The sequence below is a fragment of the Homo sapiens genome, chromosome 13 (genome assembly GCF_000001405.40).
Source record: "Homo sapiens chromosome 13, GRCh38.p14 Primary Assembly".
In the NCBI taxonomy this organism is placed as follows: Eukaryota; Metazoa; Chordata; class Mammalia; order Primates; family Hominidae; genus Homo; species Homo sapiens.
This window is the reverse complement of record NC_000013.11, coordinates 33,438,381-33,461,751: the sequence shown is the minus strand read 5'-3', so window position 1 is coordinate 33,461,751 and position 23,371 is coordinate 33,438,381. Positions and strand designations below refer to the sequence as shown.

Genomic DNA, 23,371 nt, shown 5'->3' with positions numbered 1-23,371 from the left:
GAAAAACCAGTATTACAAATTCATATATATCATCTCTATCTTTAATCCCCTGTAAAAAATCACTACAAGATAAAAAGCCTAAACTGTAACCTATTTTTAAGCAAAAAACCATAATAAGCAAGAATATTGTCACAAACTAACAAGTATAAATAATACTTAGGATTCCTAGCAGGCAAAAATACCTCAAGAGAAGCCTCTGCTACTATGGAAAAGGCACAAATCTGAAATAAGACCTAATACAAACCTGAGTCCCCACTGAGGAACCCTTATCTCTCTGAGTCTAGGTTTCCTCCTTTGTTAAATGGAGTGCTAATAATACCTACTTTATGTGGCTGGTATGAGGATTAGATGACAAAACTTAGCACAAGCACTTAGCATTGTTTAGGACAGAGAAGGTGCTCAGCATATCCTAATTTTCTCCCATTTATGATTTTACAAGAGAGACATGTCACAGGCTTTGTTGTGTTTAACGTAAAATGAATTTTTACATCAACTTTGCTGAGGTATAATTAACATACAATAAACTGCACATATTTAAAGTGTACAATTTGATAAGTTTTAACACATGCCAGCACCCAGGACACCATCACATAGCTAAGATAATGGCCATGTCCAACACAGCAACAGTTTCCTCACACCCCTTGGTGATCTCTCCTTCCTCACAACTGTCATCCCCAGGCAACCACAGACCACCTTTCTGTCACGGAACACTAGTTTGCATTTTCTAGAATTTTACAAATATGGAATTAAACAGTATGTGCTCTTTTTGTCTTGTTTATTTCACTTGGCCTAATTATTTTGAGATTCATGTATGTTGTTGCTTATATCAATAATTCATTTCTTTTTATTACAGAGTAGTATCTCATTGTATGAATAGCACACACATTTATATCTTTGAGCAGGCTTAAAGTTGCCAATTTCAAAAATGATAATATAGCTTTAAAATATAAGAACTGGCAATTTTAGTTGAGTGCAAGAAAGATGTTGTTCATTTTGGTCACCTTTTTTTTTGTTTTTTTTGAGTTGATTCTACATGATGCTTTAGAAATCTAGAAAAAAAATGTAGCATATTAATGACTTTTATTTTTTAATTTGGGAGAAGAATTTCTCTATTCAAGAAATGAGTTGTCAGTTATTTTTAAAAATAAGCGGGAAACATTGTCAATATTTAAAATTTAAGAAATATGTACAAGACAAAGGAGGAAGTAAAATATCAACCTAATTCCATGGCCCAGAAACAATCTTTCTTTTTTTTTTTTTTTAAGATGGAGTCCTGCTCTGTCACCAGGCTGGAGTGCAGTGGCACTATCTCGGCTCACTGCAACCTCTGCCTCCCAGGTTCAAGCGGTTCTCCTGCCTCAGCCTCCCGAGTACCTAGGACTACAGGCACGTGGCACCACACCCAGCTATTTTTTTTTTTTGTATTTTACTAGAGACAGGGTTTCACCATGTTGGCCAGGATGGTCTCCATCTCCTGACCTCGTGATCTGCCTGCCTTGGCCTCCCAAAGTGCTGGGATTACAGACATGAGCCATCGTGCCCGGCCCAATCTTTCTTTTTACCATTGACCTTCATCCCATAATTAGAATCCTCAAAGGAATAAAGAAAGGGGAAAACAGAAAAAAATAGTTGAAGACATAATGGCCTAAATTTTACAAATTGGTTGAAAAAACCCACAGAACTGGAAAGCTCAGTGAACTCCGAGTGTAAGAAATTTGAAAACTACACTAAGAAGCACATTATAAAGGAATTACTTAACACTAATAATAAAGAGATCATCTTAGTTCAGCCAGAGGAAAACAGACATATTACATACAGAGGAACAAAGGTTAGAATGGCATCACATTTTTCTTTGGAAACAATGCAAGCTATTGGAGCAATAAGTCTATGTCCTGAAAAAGAAAGTGTCAAGCTAGAATTCTATATCCAGAAAAAATATATTTCAAATAAACATGAAATAATGACTGGTTTACACATACAAAATAATAAAAAATTTAGCACCAGAAGACTTGTTCTACAATAAATGTTAAAGGAAGTCCTTTAGGCAAAAGGAACATAGCACAATATGGAAGCACGAATCTGCACAGCTTGGCAGTTCTTAAAAAGTAAACACACCTATCATACGATTTCACCTTCCCACTTCCATGAGAAAAAGAAGAAAATATCTAGACAAAGAATTGTACAGAAATGTTCATAGAAGCTTTTTTGTAATAGCAAAAACCTAGAAACAACCTAAGTGTCCATCAGCAGACAAATGAGTAGACAGATTGTGCTATCTCTAAATAATAGAACACTACTCAATAATAAAGAAGAACAAACTAATTATACATGCAGTAATATGAATGAATGTCAAATGCATTATGCTAAATGAAAGAAGCCAGGAAAAACAGAATAAATGCTGTATTATTTTATTTATACAAAATTTTAAAGAATGCAAACTGATCTATAGCGAGAGAAGGCACATGCTTAGTCACTTGGGTGCTGGAGGTGGGAGGGAAAGAAAGAATGGGAGAGGTGGAAAAGGGGCATGAGGAAACTTTTGGAGGGAAGAGATGTTTATTACCTTGATTATGGTGGTAGTTTCATGGATATAGTACATCATAACTTATCAAATTGTACACTATATCTATGCAATTTATCTTACATCATTTGTACCTCAATAGGCTGTAAAAAATGAGAAAAGACAGCAAGATTAAAATAATAATAATAGGCCGGGCACAGGTGCCCACGCCTGTAATCCCAGCACTTTGGGAGGCCAAGGTGGGTAGATCATGCTTGTGGTGTGTGCCTGTAATCCCAGCTACTTAGGAGACTGAGGCAGGAGAATTACTTGAACCTGGGAGGCAGAGGTTGCAGTAAGCCCAGATTGCACCACTGCACTCCAGCCTGGGCAACAGAGTGAGACTCCATCTCCAAAAAAAAAAAAAAAAAAAAAAGTAAACATGTTGTGCAGATTGTTCCTCACTCAGAAGCGCCCAGAGGAAGAATGGGGTCTGAAATCCGGACACATTTGTCAGTAGCAAGAAGATGCCCTTTTGTAATCCATCTACCAAGAAAGAGAGAGAGAGAATATATAATTTGTTTCCCAACAGGAATTGCTGGATTCTAATTTACATAAAGACCCTGTCTGTGTTAGCAGCAGCCTTGATGAATCTACATGTTATCATCATCATAATGTATTATATTTTATTTTTATTTGGAGATAAGAAGAAGCACCTAGTGAGACTAAAAGAATTGCTAAACTTAAAAGTTTCTCTACCCAGGAGAAACCAGATTATAAAAGATTCCTTGCTGAAAACATGAAAAACACTAAGCAGTTGAGTTTGTTATGCTTTTATAAACTACATATTTCGCGGGAGGCTGAAGCAGGAGAATGGCATGAACCCGGGAGGCAGAGCTTGCAGTGAGCCAAGATTGAGCCACTGCACTCCAGCCTGGGCGACAGAACAAGACTCCGTCTCAAAAAAAAAAAAACAACAAAAAACAAACAAACAAAAAAACCTATATATTTCAACTTTAAGTGATAACTTTTAACTTCCTCTTATAAAAGATAAGGAAATGAGCACATTAACACCTTCTCCAACGTCCCCTTCTTTGCACTTTTTGAGTTTTGTTTTTATATAATTACTTTGGCATTGTCAGAATAAAAACCTAAGTAATGGTGTGAAGGATAATTACAGAAACTATAACCATGTAAGATGATGGAAATGCTGTGATTCTATATTTAAATGAGTTTGATGCTCACCACCTGTTCTTGTATCATGGCTTCTCCATGTCTTAGTTAAGTTTTCATTTTCTATCTTCCCTTTAGCAGTTTTTGTTATCAAAATCTTTGTATTTTTAAGGAGTTACTGCTATATACCAAATGCTTATGTTACCCTCAAAATTCATATGTTGAAATCTAACCCCCAATATGATGGTATTAGGAGGTGGGGGCTTTAGGAGGTGATTAAGTCATGAGAATGAAACCCTTATGATGGGATCAATACTCTTGTAAAAGAGGCCCCAAAAAGATCCCTGCCCCTTCTGCCTTGTTGGAACATAGCAAAAAGATAAACCGGGAAATGGGCACTCAGCAGACACCAATTCTGCTGGCACCTTGATCCTGGACTTTCCAGCCTCCCGGACTGTGAGAAAGAAGTTTGTTTATGAGCCACCCAGTCTATGGTAGTTTAGTATAGCAGCCCGAATGGACTAAGACAGGTGTATTGGATGTTTCCTGAATTCTTGCACTCCTAATATCGTCTATCTGTTGTTTTCAGGCTTATAGAATAACTTAAATGGGCAGACAGTTTTTAATTCCAATTCTATTTCCCCCAAATCTTTGTAAACGAAAGTTCTTTTCTGGCTTTGAGGACTTTCTTCTGGATGCCTGTATGATTCATCCTTTAGAGAGGAATATCAGTGATGCCACTGAAACTTGGCATTGCTTGTATTAGATTTTCTGGAGGACAGTGGGAGCCATCAAACAACAAATAAAGTGGTTGTTTATTTCACAAAAGTTCCATTACTGACTGAATTACCTTTGTGTTCTGATTGTTGATTGCTTCTTCAGGAAAGCCAATTTTCTGTATGTTGGATTTTCTTCTTCCATATCTATCCTCCTTGCCACAGTCATTTGACATCCTGCTTGCTAAGGAATAACATGAGCCTAAAACTTGGGTGGAAATGCACTGGGGAAATTTGTTTTCTTGTCACAAACACTCTGTCACCAAATCTTTTAGTTCCTTTGCCCTGGGGGCAAGTCTTCTCTCACTTTTGGACATCATTGGCAAATTTCTTTGGTGGAGAGCCAGATAGTAAATGTTTTAGGCTTTGAGAACCTTACAGTTTCTGCTTCAACTACTCAACTGTGTCATTGTAGCCTGTTACAAATGGAATTGTTTCCCTCATCTTAGTCCATTCTCACAATTCTGGAGGCTGGGAAGTCCAAGATCAAGGTACAGCAAATTCAGTGCCTGCTTTCTGGTTCATAGATGGCACCTTGTCCCTGTATTCCCACATAGTGGAAGGGACAAGGTAGCTTTCTGGTGTGTCTTTTACAAAGGCACCGATCCCATTCATAAGGGCTGTGCCATATGGACTGATGTCCTTAGAAAAAGAGAAGGACACAGGAATGAAAACTTACAAGGAGAAAAGGCCATGTGAGGACACAGCAAAAAGGTGGTCATCTGCCAGCCAAGGAAAGAGGCCTGAGGAGAAAACAACACTGCTGATACCTTGGACTTCCTAGCCTCCAGAAATGTAAGAAAATTAATTTCTGGCCAGGTGTGGTGGCTCACACCTGTAATCCCAGCACTTTGGGAGGCTGAGGGGGGCAGATCTCTTGAGGCCAGGAGTTCGAGACCAGCCTGGCCAACATGGTGAAACTCCATCTCTACTAAAAATACAAAAATTAGCTGGGCATGGTGGCTCACGCCTGTAATCCTAGCTACTTGGGAGGCTGAGGCAGGAGAATTGCTTGAACCCGGGAGACAGAGGTTGCAGTAAGCCGAGATCATGCCATTGCTATCCAGCCTGGACAACAGAGTGAGACTCCATCTCAAAGAAAGAAAAGAAAAGAAAAGAAAATTCTGTCGTTTAAGCCACCCAGTCTGTGATATTTGTATGGCAGCCCTAGCACACTGATACATATATAGCTTGAAAGCAGCCATAGACAATATATAAACAAATGCTCATGGCTGTGTTCCAATAAAACTTTATTCATGGACATTGAAATTTGGATATCATATGACTTTCTTGTCATGAAATATTATTCGTTGTTATTTATTTATTTATGTATTTATTTATTTAATTTATTTATTTTGTTGAGACGGAGTCTTGCTCTGTCTCCAGGCTGGAGTGCCGTGGTGCGATCTTGGCTCACTGCAACCTCTGCCTCCCAGGTTCAAGTGATTCCCCTGCCTCAGCCTCCCGAGTAGCTGGGACTACAGATGCACGCCACCATGCCCGGCTAATTTTTGTTGTTGTTGTTGTTGTTTTTTTAGTAGAGACGGAGTTTTTCCATGTTGACCACAATGATCTCAATCTGACCTTGTGATCCACCCACCTCAGCCTCCCACAGTACTGGGATTACAGGCGTGAGCCACCGTGCCTGGCCGCTTTTTATTTTTTTTTAACTATTTAAAATGTAAAAATCATTCCCAGCTCACAACAGAACAAAAATAAGCAATGAGCCAGATTTAGCTGGCAGGCTCTTGTTGTAACTCTTGTTCTAGAAGGCAGTTTGATTCAAACTAAAGCCCGGTAAATCACAAGGCTTTGTCTCAAGATCTGATACTTGATTATTCCCTTCTGTCCTTCAGCCTGGCTTCACTTCTGGGTGTAAAAGGTAATATGGGGCATCAGCCTGTCTTAGCCCCACCTCCCCTGACTTCCTTTTGTGTTAGAGAACTATACATAAGGGGACTCCCTGCCTCTCTCAAATTCTCTTAGTACTGGTTTTCCTGGTCAAAGGATAATGGATAGACTTTCCACTATCGTGACACTTACTTTTGGAGATGGTTGCATCCTGTTCAGAGTCTGAGGCTTGTGTCTGCTCTCAGCATCCTCCTGTTGGCAGACCTTTCCACCATAAATGGCTTCTGTGTGTCACAGTCTGTGGTTTAGGCTTATGGCCATATTCTGGTTTTATTGTTGTTGGAGACTTTTTCCCTCCTGTTTTCCATTATGTTCCTGGGCTTTAAGCAACTGGGGTGAATTAAAAGTTCCTTTACTTACATATCTTTGAACAAAAGCCAGCCAAATCCTTCTGGACAGTTGGGAATATGTCTTTTATTCTCTGCCTTCCCAGAGTGTAGGCCAGGGCCTGGTGCAGAGTAAGTATCTACTGAGTCACCAATCTTCTCAATTTTCCTTATTAAACATTTCCTTGCCTCTTCTACTCTCACACATGCTGCCATCATCTCTTCTCTGAATGTCTGCAACAGCTTCCACACTGGCCTCCTCTAATCTGGCCTTGCTCCCCTTCATTCGTTTTCTACTTTTAGCAAAATGATCTGATTATATCACAAATCTAAGCATGCCACTCTCTTGCATAGAACTTTTCAACAGGAGCTCTATATTCTTAGGATAAGCTCTAGAGCCAACCACATAATAGTCATTCAATAAATATCTGTTAAATGAAAGATTATAGGGAATCAGAAGCCTCAGGTCGTAAGAAAGAGCTCAGACAGGCCACTGAGTTATCGTATCTCCTTTGGCAATTTATTAAATCTTTTTTTGCCTCAATTTTTCTGTCTATAAGTAACTGCCTATGGTGATAAAGCAAAACTAAAATAGTGGATGAATATGTTAGTTCATGTCTTCCAAGAGTAGATACGAAGATAGGATTAGATGTGCAAGAGATTTCTTAGGGAAGGTAGAAAGGAAAGTTGGGAAGAGCCTCCAGACTGCAATGGATGCCTGACACTCATGGAAGGAGGGAGAGAAGGAGGGTTTTCAGACCACAGTGCAGTTCCAAGAAAGCTTAGCCTGATCAGTGGAGATTCCCAGAGCCAAACCCACCTATAGGAAGTGTCCCACCTCTCACTGGAAACAGTCTGTATCAGTCCTCCTGCCAAGTTCATTCACTGGGCAGGAGCAGCCTGCAGGAAGTGTGTTCTTCACATCAGGAGGATGACGGATTGACAGAGGCAGAAGCACCCTGTAGCAAAATATCTGAACAGTGCATTCTCATAGCCTCCACAAGTAGAAAGCCCTTTGAGTTGTTAGGAGATGAGACATTAAGTAAACACACACACACAAAAATCATCTTTCCATTATTCAAGGACTGTCTGTTTAGCTTGTGGGTCTCACATCACGAACTATCAGTTTTACTTTTTAAGCCTTTTCTTTCTGCTATGTACCTTTTATCTCTTCACTACTCATCAGCACCTTTGTGCAGAAGTTGCAAGAATAGAGAAGCAACAACTCAGACCATTCTTTTCAAATGCTGAATTAGCAGGGCCCCAAATCCTCCCTGTTACACACTCTTTTTTAAAAACATTTTTCATGTTTGGAGAATGTTTTTATCTTCTTTTTAAAATGGTAGCATGCAGCAATGTGTTTTGTCTAAAAATGTTGTTAAACTATGTTTTGGTCAATAATAGTTTTAAAGGCCTAGACTTCCATTTACACAGATAAAAGAGTGGCTCTATGTTATTATTACTATCTCATATACTTCATCTCTTATTGGGATTTCCTTAAACAACTGGCTTTTCTGTGGCTTTCAAATTCAAAATGAAAAAGGATGCTAAAAAAGAAAAGCCAACATCACCAGTGTTTTCTCTATACTTGAAAGAAAACATGTTCTTAAGAGTCATTTTTATTTCTTAAAGCACTTAGGATTTATTCATGAAGTTACTTGAGCTGGTGCCAGAGAAAGGAATAGACCATCCAACATCTGACATTTTCCAGGGCGATGTGTCCAGAACTTGGTGACCCAGTTATTCTCTATTGGCGTATATTCAGCTGAACAAGCCAGGGACCAAGAGGCATGAGGCTTATGAAGCATAGCATGTTTTGTTGTTGTTTTTGTTTGTTTGGTTTTTAGCCAAAAACTACTCTTATAAAGAAAATGAAGCATTAAATAAAATGTGTCACTACAATCTTGTATAATCTTGAAAGCTGGCACTATTGAGCTATGAAAACAAGACTAAAGGCCAAGGCAAATATGCCTATGAAATACTCAAACCCAGTGGGATGTTGCCCAAGGAGGCCTGCCACATGGTAATACCCAACCCAAGCTCTTGATTTGGATTTCTTGCTATGCACACCTAAAAGTGAGGTGGCAGCTGTGATTACTGAAGGACAAAATTGGAATGTAATAGAATGACCCTTTCCCATAGTTTCTTTAATGTCAGGCAATATATTTTAAAGTTAGAAATGAAACTGAATATAATAGTTGAAGAAAAGACATTTTCATGTTGATATACATCGCTGTTCCAGGTTACTCATTTGTTTATTATGCATAGATTTAGCATATCAGGTGCCCAGTCTAGGCCTCCATGTTATGGATGAGAGATGGTACACAAGTTTTTAGCTTAATCTTTACATTTTTATGAGGTCTATATTACTACCTCCATTTTATATGTAAGGAATCTAAATTTCAGACAATGGAGAAGAGTTGCCTAAGCGCATATAACTAGTAAGAGTTGGATTCAAGACTCAAACCCAATGAATCTAATTCAGAAACTCAAGTCTTTCTAATATACAATAATGTCTTAAGGAAAATAGAGAAGGAGAAATATTAATTTCTAGTACTCACATTTGCATGAGGACAGAAGACAGGTTTGTGAAATAACTAGGGACTAGTTGGAGGCAGTATTTAAGCATGAAGCTCTAGTCTGAGTACTACAACAGTGCGGCAGAGGAAAACACTGTGTTGCCTCTCAGATGGAAAATAGGTTTCCCCTGACACCCACCCCCACAACTGCCCCCAGCTCCAGCTCCAGCCCTTCCTTATCTGGCCTTCATACCCCAGAGAACTGAGAGTTCCTCCCATGTGTGCCCCGCAACTATTGGCTGCCCACCATGGCCAGACTGTCATTATCCACACCCTCCTCATCTCCTTCTCCAGCAGACCTCGTGCCCCTGGGTCCATTCCAGAAATCCTGTTCCCTTGTATTTGCACCTGTGTTCTTGACTAGCTCCTTCTCCTTAGGCCCTGAACATACTGAGATCTCCTGATCTCCTCTAAATTACAAAAGCCCTTCATCAAGGTACCTCCTAAGGCCAGCATTTTTGCTTCCTTCAATCTTTCTGATTGAGTTTCTTGAAGTAAATTATTTCCCACTTATTCCTTAATTTATTTTATTCTAATTTCTGTCTTCTGGCTCTTGCCAAGGTCACTTCATAATTACCAACTTTTAGTGACTTCAGAGGTATCAATTTTCAGTCCTTTTCTATTAACCTATTCCTGCTGATTAAAGTCTTCCCTTTTTTGTTATATACCATATCACTTTCTTCTCTGGCTGCTCTTCTTCAATCTTACTTCAACTTCACAAATGCTATCATGCCAAGATTTTTGCCTTTACCTCTCTTATTCTCGGTATAACCACACTTTCCTTAAACAATCTCAGCGTCTTTTACAGCTAAAACATCATTGATATTCCACATTCCTGAGCTCCGGCTTCTCTATGCAGACCCAACTGAGTGTCTCATAGTCACTTCAAACTCAATGTGTATAAAAGTAAAACTCCTTTTCTCATGATCCAAACCCCTGTACACCTCCCCTGTTACTCCCTTTGTCAACATGAACCAGGTGCTCAGCCAAAACCTGAAAACCATCCAAGACACCCTTTCTGTATACATACTCTAGTCCGGGCCCTATGTTTCACCTAGTCATAGTTTATGGCAACAATCCCCTGACTTGTGTCCGATCTCTTCCTTTCCACCCCCAGTCCATCCCTCATGTTGCTTCTAGATTATAAAACTTACATTTTTAGAGTCCTCATCACCACAGAAATTGTTCTCAACTCATTAACATAGTAAAGTATTTTATTATCTAGCCCACGTCTGTCTCTTAAACCCTATCACTTTCCACTCTTTTCTATAACTGACATTTCAGGAATTCCAAAATACCTGCATTTCAGCCAGGCATGGGGGCTCATACCTATAATTTCAGCACTTTAGGAGATAGAGGTGGAAGGATTGCTTGAGCCCAGGAGTTCAAAACTGGCCTAGGCAACATAGTGAGACCCCATCTACAAAAAATAAAAAATTAGCCAGGCCTGGTGGCATGTGCCTGAGGTCTCAGCTACTCAGGAGGCAGAGGTGGAAGGATTCCTCGAGCACAGGAGGTCTACACTGCAGTGAGACATGATTGCACCACTGCACTCCAGCCTGGGGGACAGAGCAAGACCCTGTCTCTTTTAAAAAACATACAAAAACAAAAAACAAACTTCACCTGCATTTCCCCAAACGGCCATGCTTTCTTCTGCTCCTCTCTTTTGTACATGTTGTTTCCTCTCCCTGGAATTCCCCTCTCCCTGTGTTTTCCCAATGAGCATATTCTTCAACAGCCATCTTAAATATTACTATCTGTAAACCTCCCCTGATTCTCTACATGATGTCCACTACTTCTGCCTCTTGTGCAACCATTATGTCTTGTATATCTAAACAAAAAAGTTATGATCCTAAAGGACTATAAGATTGTAACCTTTTTGTTATAGAGCTGTCTTCTAGCCTAGACTATGATCTCATTCAGGCTCCATAACTAAATTTCAATAACACAACCAAAAAAGAAAACTTCAGGTTAATATCCCTAATGAACACAGATACAAAAATCCTCAACAAAAATAAGTGAGCCAAATTCAGCAGCACATTAAAAATATCATTCACCATAATCAAGTGGAATTCATTTTAGGGATGCAAGGATGGATCAACACAGGAAAATCATTAAACATGATATGTTAATAGAATGAAGGACAAAAATCATACTATCTCAATAGAAGTATTTGATAAAATTCAACATCTCTTCATAATAAAAACTCTCAACAAATTAGGTATAGAAGGAACATGCCTCAACATAATAAAGGCCATACATAACAAACTCACGGCCAACATCATTCTGAAAGGGAAAAAGCTGAAAGCTTTCTCTCTAAGATCTGAAACAAGACAAAGGTGCCCACTTTCACCACTTTTATTGAACATAGTCCTGGAAGTCCTAGCTAGAGTAATCAGGTAGAAGAAAGAAATAAAGGGAATCTAAATGGGAAGAGTAGAAATCAAGCTGTCCCTATTCGCAGATAGTATGATCTTTACATATAGAAAACCCCGTACTTCACACAAAAAAACTATTAGAACTGATAAATAAATTAAGCAAAGTTGCAAGATACAAAATCAACATACAAAATCAGTTGTATTTCTATATGCCAATAGTGAAGAACCTGAAAAAGAAATCAAGAAGGCAATACCATTTTCAATAGCTACAAAAAATTACCTAGGAATAAATTTAACTAACGAAGCAAAAGATAACTACAATTAAAACTACAAAAAAATTGAAGAAGACACAAAAAATAGAAAGTTATCCTGTGTTCATGAATTGCAATAATTTATATTGTTAAAATGTCCGTACTACTCAAAGCAATCTACAGTTTCAATGCAATTGCTAACAAATTACCAGTGACATTCTTCACAAAAATAGAAAAATCATTCTACAATTTTCATGAAACCACAAAAGATCCTGAATAGCCAAAGAAATATTGTGCAAAAAGAATAAACCTGGTGACATTAGACTACCTGACTTCAAAATATACTTCTAAGTGTTAGTAACCAAAACAACATGGTACTGCCATGAAAACAGACACATAGACTGATGGAACAGAATCAAAAATCCAGAAATAAATCCATGGATCTACAGCCAATTAATTTTTGACAAAGTTGCCAAAAATACAAAATGGGGAAAGGAATGTCTCTTCAATAAATAGTGTTAGGAAAACTGGTTAAACACATGCAGAAGAATGAAACTAGACCCTTTTCTCTCACCATAGACAAACATCAACTCAAGATGAATTAAAAACTTAAATGTAAGACCCAAAACTACAAAACTGCTAAAAGAGAAAACACAGGAGAAAATGTCCATGAAAAATATCCTACACCAGGATTTTTTTGGATAAAAACTTCAAAAGCATAGGCAACAAATGCAAGTATAGACAAATGGGATTACATCAACCTATTTTTTTTTTTTGGCACAGCATTTTAGGACAATAGAACAATTAACAAAGCAAAGAGACAGCATGCAGAGTGAGAGAATATATTTGCAAACTATGCATCTGATGAGGCGTTAATATCCAAAATATATAGGGAACTGAAACAACTCAACAACAACAACAAAAACTCAATTAAAAAATGGGCAAAAGGCCTGACTTTACATTTCTTAAGACATACAAATGGCCAAGAAATATATGAAAAAAAGCTCAACATTTTTAATCATCGGGGAAATGCAAATAGATATCACTTCATTCTGGTTAGAATGACTATTATCAAAAGGACAAACAGTAACAAATGTTGGTGAAGACGCGGAGAAAAGGGGACCCTTACACATTGGTAGGGGAAATGTAAATTAGTTCAGCCATTATGGAAAACAGTATGGCGGTGCCTCAAAAACATTAGAAATAGAACTACCCTGTACTCCAGCAATCCCACTACTGGGTATATATCCAAAGGAAATGATATCAATATGTCAAAGAGGTATTTGCACTCCTGTGTTTAGCACAGTACAATTCACAACAGCCAAGGTAAGTAAAGAACCTAAATCCCCTCAGTGGTTGAATGAGCTTAAAAATACAGTATATATACACAATGGAATACTATTCAGCCATAAAAAAAGAATATTTTGTCACTTGTGGCAACATGGATGAACCTGTTAAATTATATTGAGTGAAATAAGTCAGGAACATAAAGATGAATACTGCATGATGTCACTTATATGAAATCTAAAAAAGTTGTTCTCATTGAAGTAGAGAGTAGAATAGTGGTTACCAGAGGATGGGAAGTGTAGTGAGGAGGGAGAATAGGAGAATTAACAATAATGTATCATATTTCAAAAAAGCTAGAAGAGAGGGTTTTGAATGTACTCAGAAAAAGAAATGATAAATATTTAAGTGCTGGATACGCTATTATAATCTGATTTGCTCATAACACAATGAACACATATCGAAACATCACATATCCCATAAGTATGTACAATTATTATGTATCAATAAAAATTTAATAATAATAACGATAATTTAGTTTAAAGAAGAACTCAATTTTATTCTAATCTAGTCAGATTTTCAACAGCATACATAACCTCTTTCACTAACTTTAAGGTATTCTAAAAATTAATTGTGCTTATTATCTCAATCAGTTAATTCTGTATTGTAATAAATTCTGCATTTAATTGCTTTCTAATGGTGTTTATATATATATCTTATTTCTCTCTTATTTTCAGAATTAAAGAATTCTGAGGATAAAATTTGTTGGATTTTGAGCTAATTAACACTCCCATCTCTCCATTTCTCACAGATTAATCTATTGTCTTTTCAGTCTGAGCTTCTGTGTGTCTTATTGAGCATCTTAGAGCATACTATTTCTGTTATTACTATCTGGTAAATGTAATCATTAATTTTCAATCCTTCTAACAAAATCTAGTGAAAAGTCATATGACATATGTTTTATACTCTTGCACTGATGCTTCCAGATAAGCATGACATTTTCCAGAGGAACGTGTAAGGAAGTGGTAAGTTGGGGTTAATGAGAGTCAGAGTACAACTCAAGTCTAATGTCCAAGTTGGAGCAGGACACTCAGCAAAGGATCTAAAGGGAAGAACACAAAAAGTCTGAGCAAGTAGGAAAAGGGAAGCCCATACTTCAGTTTCATGGTTGGAAAAGAGCTAGCCAGAGGCAAGGAGAGCACCTGGAAGCCTACATCCCTGTCTAGGTGTTGCAGCAGCATCATGCTCAGCTGCTGGCTTGCACACAAGCTCGTGGAAGAACCTGTTTTGGATAGAAGGACTAGTAAGTATTTGCCTAGGGCACATAGTTGTACAAGAGACGGACGTTTTTAGGTCCTTGCGGTTTCTTGCATTTCCAGAAAACTTGCTTCAAATATTTTTCCAGATGCAAAATTCCTTGGATCCTTGTTTTAGAATGAATCTATTAACTAAACTGGATCCAGAAAAAGTCTATAATCAGTTTTGTTTTTCAGAAACTTCACATTAAATTTAATGAATTCCTTTCTTTGTTCATGTATTAATTTCTGGGACTTGGCCCAAATCCTGTATAAAATATACACAGAAAGAGAGAGAACAAGTAGCCTCTTTATGTAAACTAATCAAGAAGGAAATGAAGCCACCCAAATGTGGGCTATGCCATCTGTGATCTATGATAAATAACAAAACTACAGTCATGTTTTTTCCTTAAATGTTAACTGTAAAACATAGTCCTTTTTATTAGCACCAGATGTCAAGAATGCTTATTAAAATGCTATGGTTTATTAAATAGCATCATTTTAGACTCACTGAACTAGTAAAGACTCGTGTTTTTGCATTAGATTAAATGTCTAAAATTCTGTATTACTCCTTCTATTTCAAATACATGAACGCTAATATACATACACCAAAATTTATATTTAGAAACAGAGAGATTTATATATCATAGGTGAAACTGAAATATTTTTCAGTCCACAAAAGTGGATTTTCATTTTACTCTTATGTATAAAGTTTATTGAGATTTTTATATAGCAATGAAAATAAGCATGACATATCTCAGATCTATAGGAAATCAGGGAAGATTAAACAAAAATAAAAAGTATATTTAAAACTATATAATCTATCTTTTTTAGTGATTTTGGTTTTTTTTTTCTTTTTAGCTTTCATCACGTAGTCATATGTGAGGAAATTGTGATCATCCCTGTCTCTTCCCTCCTTCTAGCTAAGAGTCAGTATGGCCTTTTCTCGGCCTGAGTCAGGGAAAGAATAGCTTTGATAATTAGACAGAAATCACTATATAGAATTTTTGCAGAAATAGAAAGTTTTGGGAACTTTCCTGCAAGGCCATGCTTGCAATATTTTGAATTCAAATTTAAAGGGAATAGTGAGAATTTAGTATGGTAAATAAGGAACATTATATTTTCATTTTACTTCTTCATCAACTGATAGTTTGGTTAACCTCTTCTTTAAGACTGTCTTGTCAAAATGACTCTGCAATTACAGATTACAATGCTTTGAAATATTTTATTTTCTTTTTTTAAACCCTATACTTTTTATGTATAATTTGTACATGATCTATTGGGTAGCTAACATGAGGAGTGCTATAGTTTGGATGTTTGATTCCTCAAAACTCATGCTGAAATTTAATTTCAATGTTGGAGATGGGTGTCTAATGGGAGGTGTCTGGGTCACAGAGGCAGATCCCTCATGAATAGATTAAAACCCTCACTTGGGTTGAGGGGTGAGTGAGTTCTCACTTTATTAGTTCTTGTGAAAGCTGGTCGTTAAAAAGAGCCTGGCACCTGGCCCCTCTTCTGCTTCCTCTCTCTCCCTGTGATCTCTCTATATACAAATTCCCCTTCACCTTCAGCCAGGAGTGGAAATAGCCTGAGGCCCTTGCCCAGTTTTGAGCTGTTCGGGATACCAGAACTGTGAGCCAAATAAACATATATATATATTTATTTATATATATAGCCTCAGGTATTTCTTTGTAGCAACACGCAAACAAACTAAGACAAGGGTGATTTAGGAAAAGGTTATTTGAGATATAATTCACCTATAACAAAGTCAGCCATAAATTACTCGGGCCAAACTCAGTGTGTAATATATCCCATATACTTGTCTAAGGAAACTAACTTTCTAGTGGTAATCTAGTGATTAACCTTTTCTACTCATTGTTACTTAGACATTATCCAGTAATATTCAAATCAAGGTTACTACTGAATATAACCTATTGAGTTTGAAACCAGCAGGTGAGTTCTGAATAAAGTAAAGGGCAGATAATAAAATAGCTTCCATGTTTACATAAGAATTTATTTACTCTGGGATTTTTATCTACTGCTTTTGGTTTTAAAGGTTAACATGAGGGCATTAGGAAAAAATGGGCCCTTTGTTTTTCAGGAGCAGCAGGTGTTGAAACTGCTTTCTAGTTTGACTAGTACAATAGTAGTTAATTTATTCATTGACTTGATTGATCATTACAAGCCCTAAGGGACATAGCCTCCCAAAAAAAATTATCTGAATGTTTTTATGGTTACTTAGCGCAGTTCTGTATTTTAATCTGTCATATTTGGCTATGTGGGCAAAGGATACATTACTGGGTACATTTGTTTCAAAAAGCAATTGCATTTTATATCCAGCCTTATCATAAAATAAATACCTAAGATGTTTTTAGACTGTCTGCATGAACATGGATTTATAACTACTATGGCTTTGGAGGTATTACAAAATTAACACTTTCTGGGGGATCTCAGCAAATGAGGCAAATGACTTTTTGAAATTTTTTACTGTTACATTATAATCATTTTTGGAGACAGGATCTCACTCTGCCAGCCAGGCTGGAGTGCAGTGGTGGGAACACTGGCTCACTGCAGCCTCAACTTCTGGGGTTCAAGTGATCCTCCTGCCTCAGTCTCTCTAGTGGCTGGGATTACAGATGTAAGCTATCACACTGGCTAATTTTTTCTATTTTTTTTGTAGAGACAGGATCTCCTCATGTTTCCCAGGCTGATCTCAAACTCACTGCCTCAAGTAATCCTCCCACCTTGGCCTCCCAAAGTACTGGGATTACAGGCATGAGCCACTGCACCTGGCCTGCAAATTACCCTTAAATGTAACTCAAAGGAATTTACTGCTAATTAAGAAGGAACTGAAGCCACCCAAACATGGTTTATGCTATCTGTGGTCTGTGATAAATGGCAAAACTACAGTCATGTTTTTTCCATGAGAATTATCCATGAGATAATTCTAATAGTTATCCATGAATTATCCATGAGATAATTCTTACAGTTCTAGAGTTCTTGGATCTCCAATATAGACCACTTACCTGCTCCAAGCCACCTACACAACAGAAAGGGTTAAGCACCTAGCATAGTGCTAGAAATGTGTGTATCTATATACTGACTAAGCACTCGGCAAATGTTTAGTGAATACAATACCCAGAGAAAACCCACTGGTGGTCGAGAGACACGTGATCTAACTATACTGACATCAGTGAATAAGTGACATCATTTCACATCTGCTCCAAAGTGTACCCTTCCTTCATGTTTATAGAGCTAACTATAATCTCAGGATTATTAGGTGAGTATGAATAATTATCCCCCCAATAGGAGCAGTTTTCTAAAATTGTCTATCCATAAGTCACATTTTGGATTTTAGAGATATCTTCTTTTTTTTTTTTTTTTTTTTTTGAGACTGAGTCTCGCTCTGTTGCCCAGGCTGGAGTGCAGTGGCACAATCTCGGCTCAGCTCACTGCAGCCTCCATCTCCTGGGTCCAAATGATTCTCCTGCCTCAGCCTCCCAAGTAGCTGGGATTACAGGTGCACATCACCACGTCCAGCTAATTTTTGTATTTTCAGTAGAGACGGGGTTTCATCATGTTGGCCACGCTGGTCTTGAACTCCTGACCTAGTGATCCACCCACCTTGGCCTCCGAAAGTGCTGGGATTACAGGCGTGAGCCACCACACATGGCCGAGACATCCTCTTAATGTGTTATATTGCTAAGTTCTAAAGAGTTTCTATTTGGATTTCCAAACAGAGGGGTTTGAAGTAGGAAGCAGCAGGAGGTTCAATATACGGGGTTGCAATAGAGTGTGTGCTTCTAGTGTTTTTTTTTTGGGGGGGGGACCCTTTTTATTAATTGTTATGAAATTCACTTAACATAAAATTTATCATCCTAACCAATTTTTTTTTTTTTTTTGAGACAGAATCTCGCTTTGTTGCCCAGGCTAGAGTGCAGTGGCACTATCTTGGCTCACTGCAAGCTCCACCTCCTGGGTTCAAGGCATTCTCCTGCCTCAGCCTCCCGAGTAGCTGGAACTACAGGCACCTGCCACCACGCCTGGCTAATTTTTTGTATTTTTAGTAGAGACGGGTCTTCACCGTGTTAGCCAGGATGGTCTCATCTCCTGACCTTGTGATCCGCCCGCCTCGTCCTCCCAAAGTGCTGGGATTACAGGGGTGAGCCACTGCGCCCAGCCCATCCTAACCATTTTTAAGTGTACAGTTCAGTGGTATTAAGAACATTCAGATTGTTATGCAACCAACCCCACTGTCCATCTCCAGAACTCTTCATCTTGTAAAACTGAACTCTGTACCAATTAATCAATAACTCCCTATTCCTTCTTGCCCTGGCCCCTGGCATCCTGTGATTTTAAGTGAAGATTATTATGTTAAAATATTGCTATATAATCCATAAAGAAGAATATGTTCACCATCACATTTATGAATGTTTTACAATTAATATATTATGGAAAATGGGTGTTATGTATTCATTTTTTGCCTCATCAATTTTCCTGGGAAATGAGGGCCCCTATGCCTCTGCTTCTAATGTTTCATGTACTACTAAAATGGTAGATACATGAGGGGCTCATTTTTAATATCTCTAACATCTTTGAACTTCAGTAATATTTTTCAAATATTTTTCATTTTTCAAAACACTAACTTTTGTTGCTTTAATTTCAGATAATTAGTTTCTCCTTTTATCTCATCATGATACCTCGCACTTGAAATGTTCCTATTCTGTATACATTCATATATTCATCAAATTCAAACTCTGTTTACCTTTTAAATATTCTACATTTAGGACAAGATAATACTTGGCCATACTTTTGTCAAATATTCTCTCTGGAATTCCTATTTCAGTTGGGTTGCATTGATTTATTTTGAAATCAAGTAATCTGACTTTCAGTTATTGTGCCAAGGATTATTTATTATTATTATTATTAATGTATGAGTAGCTCTGTTAGCACTCCATCTCAAGGTGTGGCTGAGAAAGCATACTTCTGTGTTTTGTTTCCTTTTCAAGCCGTGAGGCTTAAATTTTTCGGCAGCAATTGCTCTTAGTTCGTAAGTGAGAATTTTTAAACAGCTGAAATGGAAGAATTCTACTGGGTTATTTCTAATTTACATGATTGTCAGAACATTATTGTATTTAGAGAATAATGCTTAATGTTTTATTATGTTCAAGTAACACAGCTTATTTTACTTTCTAAGTTTACTCTGTTTCTTATTCCAGGTCAAATAGTCATTAAATATATTTGCTTCCAGACCAAGTCAGAACCACTGATATTAGTTTAAAAATATGGAGGGATCTTTTCTCCTCTGTGTGTCACAAATGTCTGAAGTTGCACCATTTATTAAAATGAAATGAAGTTCTTTTATTGGTGTTTATTGTCAAATGATGTCCCTTTCATATGTGAATATCCTTGGGAAAAGTGGATCTTATTGTCACTTACCAACTCTTTTGTGGATTTGCTTTTTCCCGGGGCAAGTATGAGCACAGGCGTAGAATATAGGGAGAAACACAAACAATGGGATGGGAAGGAACTGTGGTATCAAGGACAAAGCTTTAACTGCATCATCATTTTGCCTCTTTCCTGACTGACTCTTGTAGAATACTGTGTACCTGATACTTTGAAAAAGTTAATAATCGTAAGCATCTGTTTTTCCGAATTTCCTTCACAATAATCAACCAATATTTACTGTATACCTTTTCTCTGCTACACTTGGGGCTCAGGACATCCCCTGAATTTTTGTACTTACTCCTCAAAGCAACCCCATTTTACTGATGAGGAAATGAGGCTTAGAGAAATGTGGTCACTTTTTTAAGGTCATATGGCTAGGAACTGTCTTTCTGATTGCTAAACATATTATCTTAACCACAAAACTGTATTTATTCTTAGAGTAATGAGGAATCATTGAAGGATTTTAAGAAGATTGAAGTGATCACATTGATTTTGAAGGAATCACACTGGCTGAGAATATAGATTGGAGAGAATTAAGACTAGAATCGGACTAAGAAGTTAGGAAACTATTGCAATTTTCTAGGTATTACCTGAATGTTGCCCAGGAGGTGGCAGCAGGGATGAAAAGAAGCAGATGGATTCAAGCAACATTTGGAAGTAGGCTTCAGCAGGATGTAGTGAGGACAGGAAGGAGTCATGGGTGATCTTTGAGTTTCTGATTTGAGCAAACAGGTAGATGGAAACACCATTCACCAAGACAGAGGGAACATAGACAGGGGATCTGTATGTGTGTGTGGACAAGGAGGTGGAGGAGGAGGTGGGAGGGGAGGAGAGGACGTTGAGTTTTGGACACAGAGTTTGAGGTGTCTGATGTGAAATGTCCAAAGGCAAATGTGCAATCAACAGTTTGTTCTTGGCCAGTCACGGTGGCTCATGCCTGTAATCCCAGCACTTTGAGAGGCCGAGGTGGGCGGATCACTTGAGTTCAGGAGTTCGAGACCAGCCTGGCCTTGGGTGACAGAGTGAGACTCTATCTTAAAAAAAAAAAAAAAAAAAAAAAAAATCGCTGTTTTCCTGGAGCTCAAGGAAAGAGACCTAAGTTGGAGATCTAAACCTGAAGGTTATCAGAATATGGATGGAAAGTACATGAGATCACCCTGGAAGAAGGTGCAAAGTGAGAAGGGAAGAAGGGCCAGCACCCATCCCTAACAAGACAAAATAAAACTTAAGTAAATGAAATCAGCATATAAGAAGGGCACAAGCAAAAGGAGAGCCCACCAAGAAAATGATACGGAACAAGCAGAGGGGTAGAAAAGACAGCAGGGACAGCATGGGATTCAGAAGGCCAGAAGGATAAAGTTGCAGAAGGAAGGAGTAGTCAGCTGAGTTAGGGCCTGTGATGTCACTGAGAGACACAGTGACGCAGGGCCTGGCTTTAGCACTAAGGAGACTATTGGTGGCACCAGGGCCCTGGAGCAGTGGATTAAAACTAGACTTTAGTCTTCTTCTCAGTTACTAAATAGACACATGGTATCATGTAAATCTTTTTTTTTTTTTTTTGCCTCGTTCTGTCGCCCAGGCTGGAGTGCAGTGACACGATCACGGTTCACTGCAACCTCTGCCTCCCAGGCTCAAGAGATCCTCCCACCTTAGCCTTCCAAGTAGCTGAGACTACAGGCACATGCCACCATGCTCGGCTAATTTTAAAATTTTTTTGTAGAGCAGGGTGTCTCGCTATGTTGCCCAGTCTGATTTCGAACTCCTCGGCTCAAGCCTGGAACTCCCACCTAGGCCTGCTGAATTGCTGGGATTACAGGCATGAGCCACTGCACAAGGCCTGTATTGTATAAATCTTTACTTAAGTCAGAGAAAAATACATTTAATGCGTCTTCCCCATGAATGAGTATTTTGATGACTTTTATGATTCCTGATGATTTGTGTAGTTCCTAAAATCATTCAATCTTCATGCCTCAGTTGGCATTTTATTTTCATTTCTGGAGGCCATTTGATTCTAATTTTACAATCTTATTTTTTGTCTCAAACTCAATATTCTTCACAAAAGTGGTATAATTTTGAGATATTAAGAGTGATACTGTTTTTTTACAGGTGCTCTCTGATAACAGACCCAAAGAAAGAGTGGGTAAGTCTCCCTGAGAAAATGTTTTCCTGTTTATGTATAAAAGTTGTTTGGAGAGCTTTGCCTCATCCCTATAAATTTAAACATGCCATAAGTGTTGCTGAATCATGGATGCAAAGTTGATGGATACAGTATGATGTTAAATCAGAATTTGACCTGCATTTTGAAAATTGGAAAAGTTCATTGGGTTTTCTCTGGTCCTCATGCAGCCATGCTGCTGAGTTTATCTCCATTTTGTAAAGTTGATTTTACACAGAAAGAAGTTGCTTTGCATAACCAGTCTTTATCTTGAAATGTACCTTGTAAGTTAAATAGGAATTAAATAAAAGATTGCACCTTTACTGAAACATCTGCTTCGAAGGTAAGGCCTCTTGAAAATAAGGCATATATGAGGGTAGTGGTTTATTTGTATAGCTTTTGTATTTGGAAATGTTCTGTATAAATCTGAATACTTGGCAGCTTTATTTGTGGAATCTTATTTTAATGACTATGTAAACTAACAGCTAACCAATCTTGAATCACCACTTCTTACCAACTCTTTAGCAGCTGTTGTTGTACTTTTCATTTGAATAGTCATTATGGATAAGACATTCTGAAATCTCCATATCAGTCCTCACTTCATACGGTCATTTACATGCTTATACATAGAAAGGAACCCCTTCAAAGCCCTTTATGTGATTCCACTGCATGTATTCTTCATATCTTGTAGATAGCGTATTGCTAGACTTGAAAGTTAACACTTTTCTCTGAGTTTATATCTTTAAAGCCCAATTTTGAAGTATCTTGTCAAATAATGCCTCTAAAAGCAATAGTCTGATGCTACCCTTATCTGCATTGGTGCCAGCATTATTTCCATTTTTATACACTCATTTTTCTATAATCTGCTGAGAACCAGTTTCAGTTCATTATTCAGACACCCAAGATCTCAGCTTCACTTATGCTTAGGATGAGCATTGGATCTCTGGGATATAGTCATCTGCTGTTCTTCAGCTCTTGGGGAGATTTGCAAGGAGGCCTTTACACTGGGCCTCCAGGCAAAAATGACTGGCTAGAACTTTGTCAGGAAAATGTCTTTAGTGAGTGTGCCGAACCTATCAGCTCTCCCACTAAACAACCAAGCAGAATTTGTTCTTGCCATTCTGAGAAATGCTTGTAGCATCAACTATGCATAATTTTTGTCCATGACCACTTTTATATTTGGGACTTCAACTATATATAACCCTCAACCACCTGGCAGCTAAGTGGGAAATAAGCACAGACCTCTTTTAAAATCATATGAATGTGTCCAAATAGTAAATTATGACATAAGTAGA

General features: G+C 37.9%; 1 protein-coding gene across 5 annotated transcripts in view; it reads left to right on the top strand.

Moving 5' to 3' along the window:
* STARD13 (StAR related lipid transfer domain containing 13) overlaps positions 1-23,371 on the top strand; it is a 573,658-nt gene that overhangs the window by 215,043 nt on the left and 335,244 nt on the right. For all 5 annotated transcript variants that reach the window (XM_017020835.3, NM_001243476.3, XM_047430759.1 and 2 more), the window contains one exon: positions 22,028-22,061. In XM_017020835.3, coding sequence (XP_016876324.1) covers positions 22,028-22,061 — 34 coding nt within the window. The remainder of the gene's footprint in view (positions 1-22,027; positions 22,062-23,371) is intronic.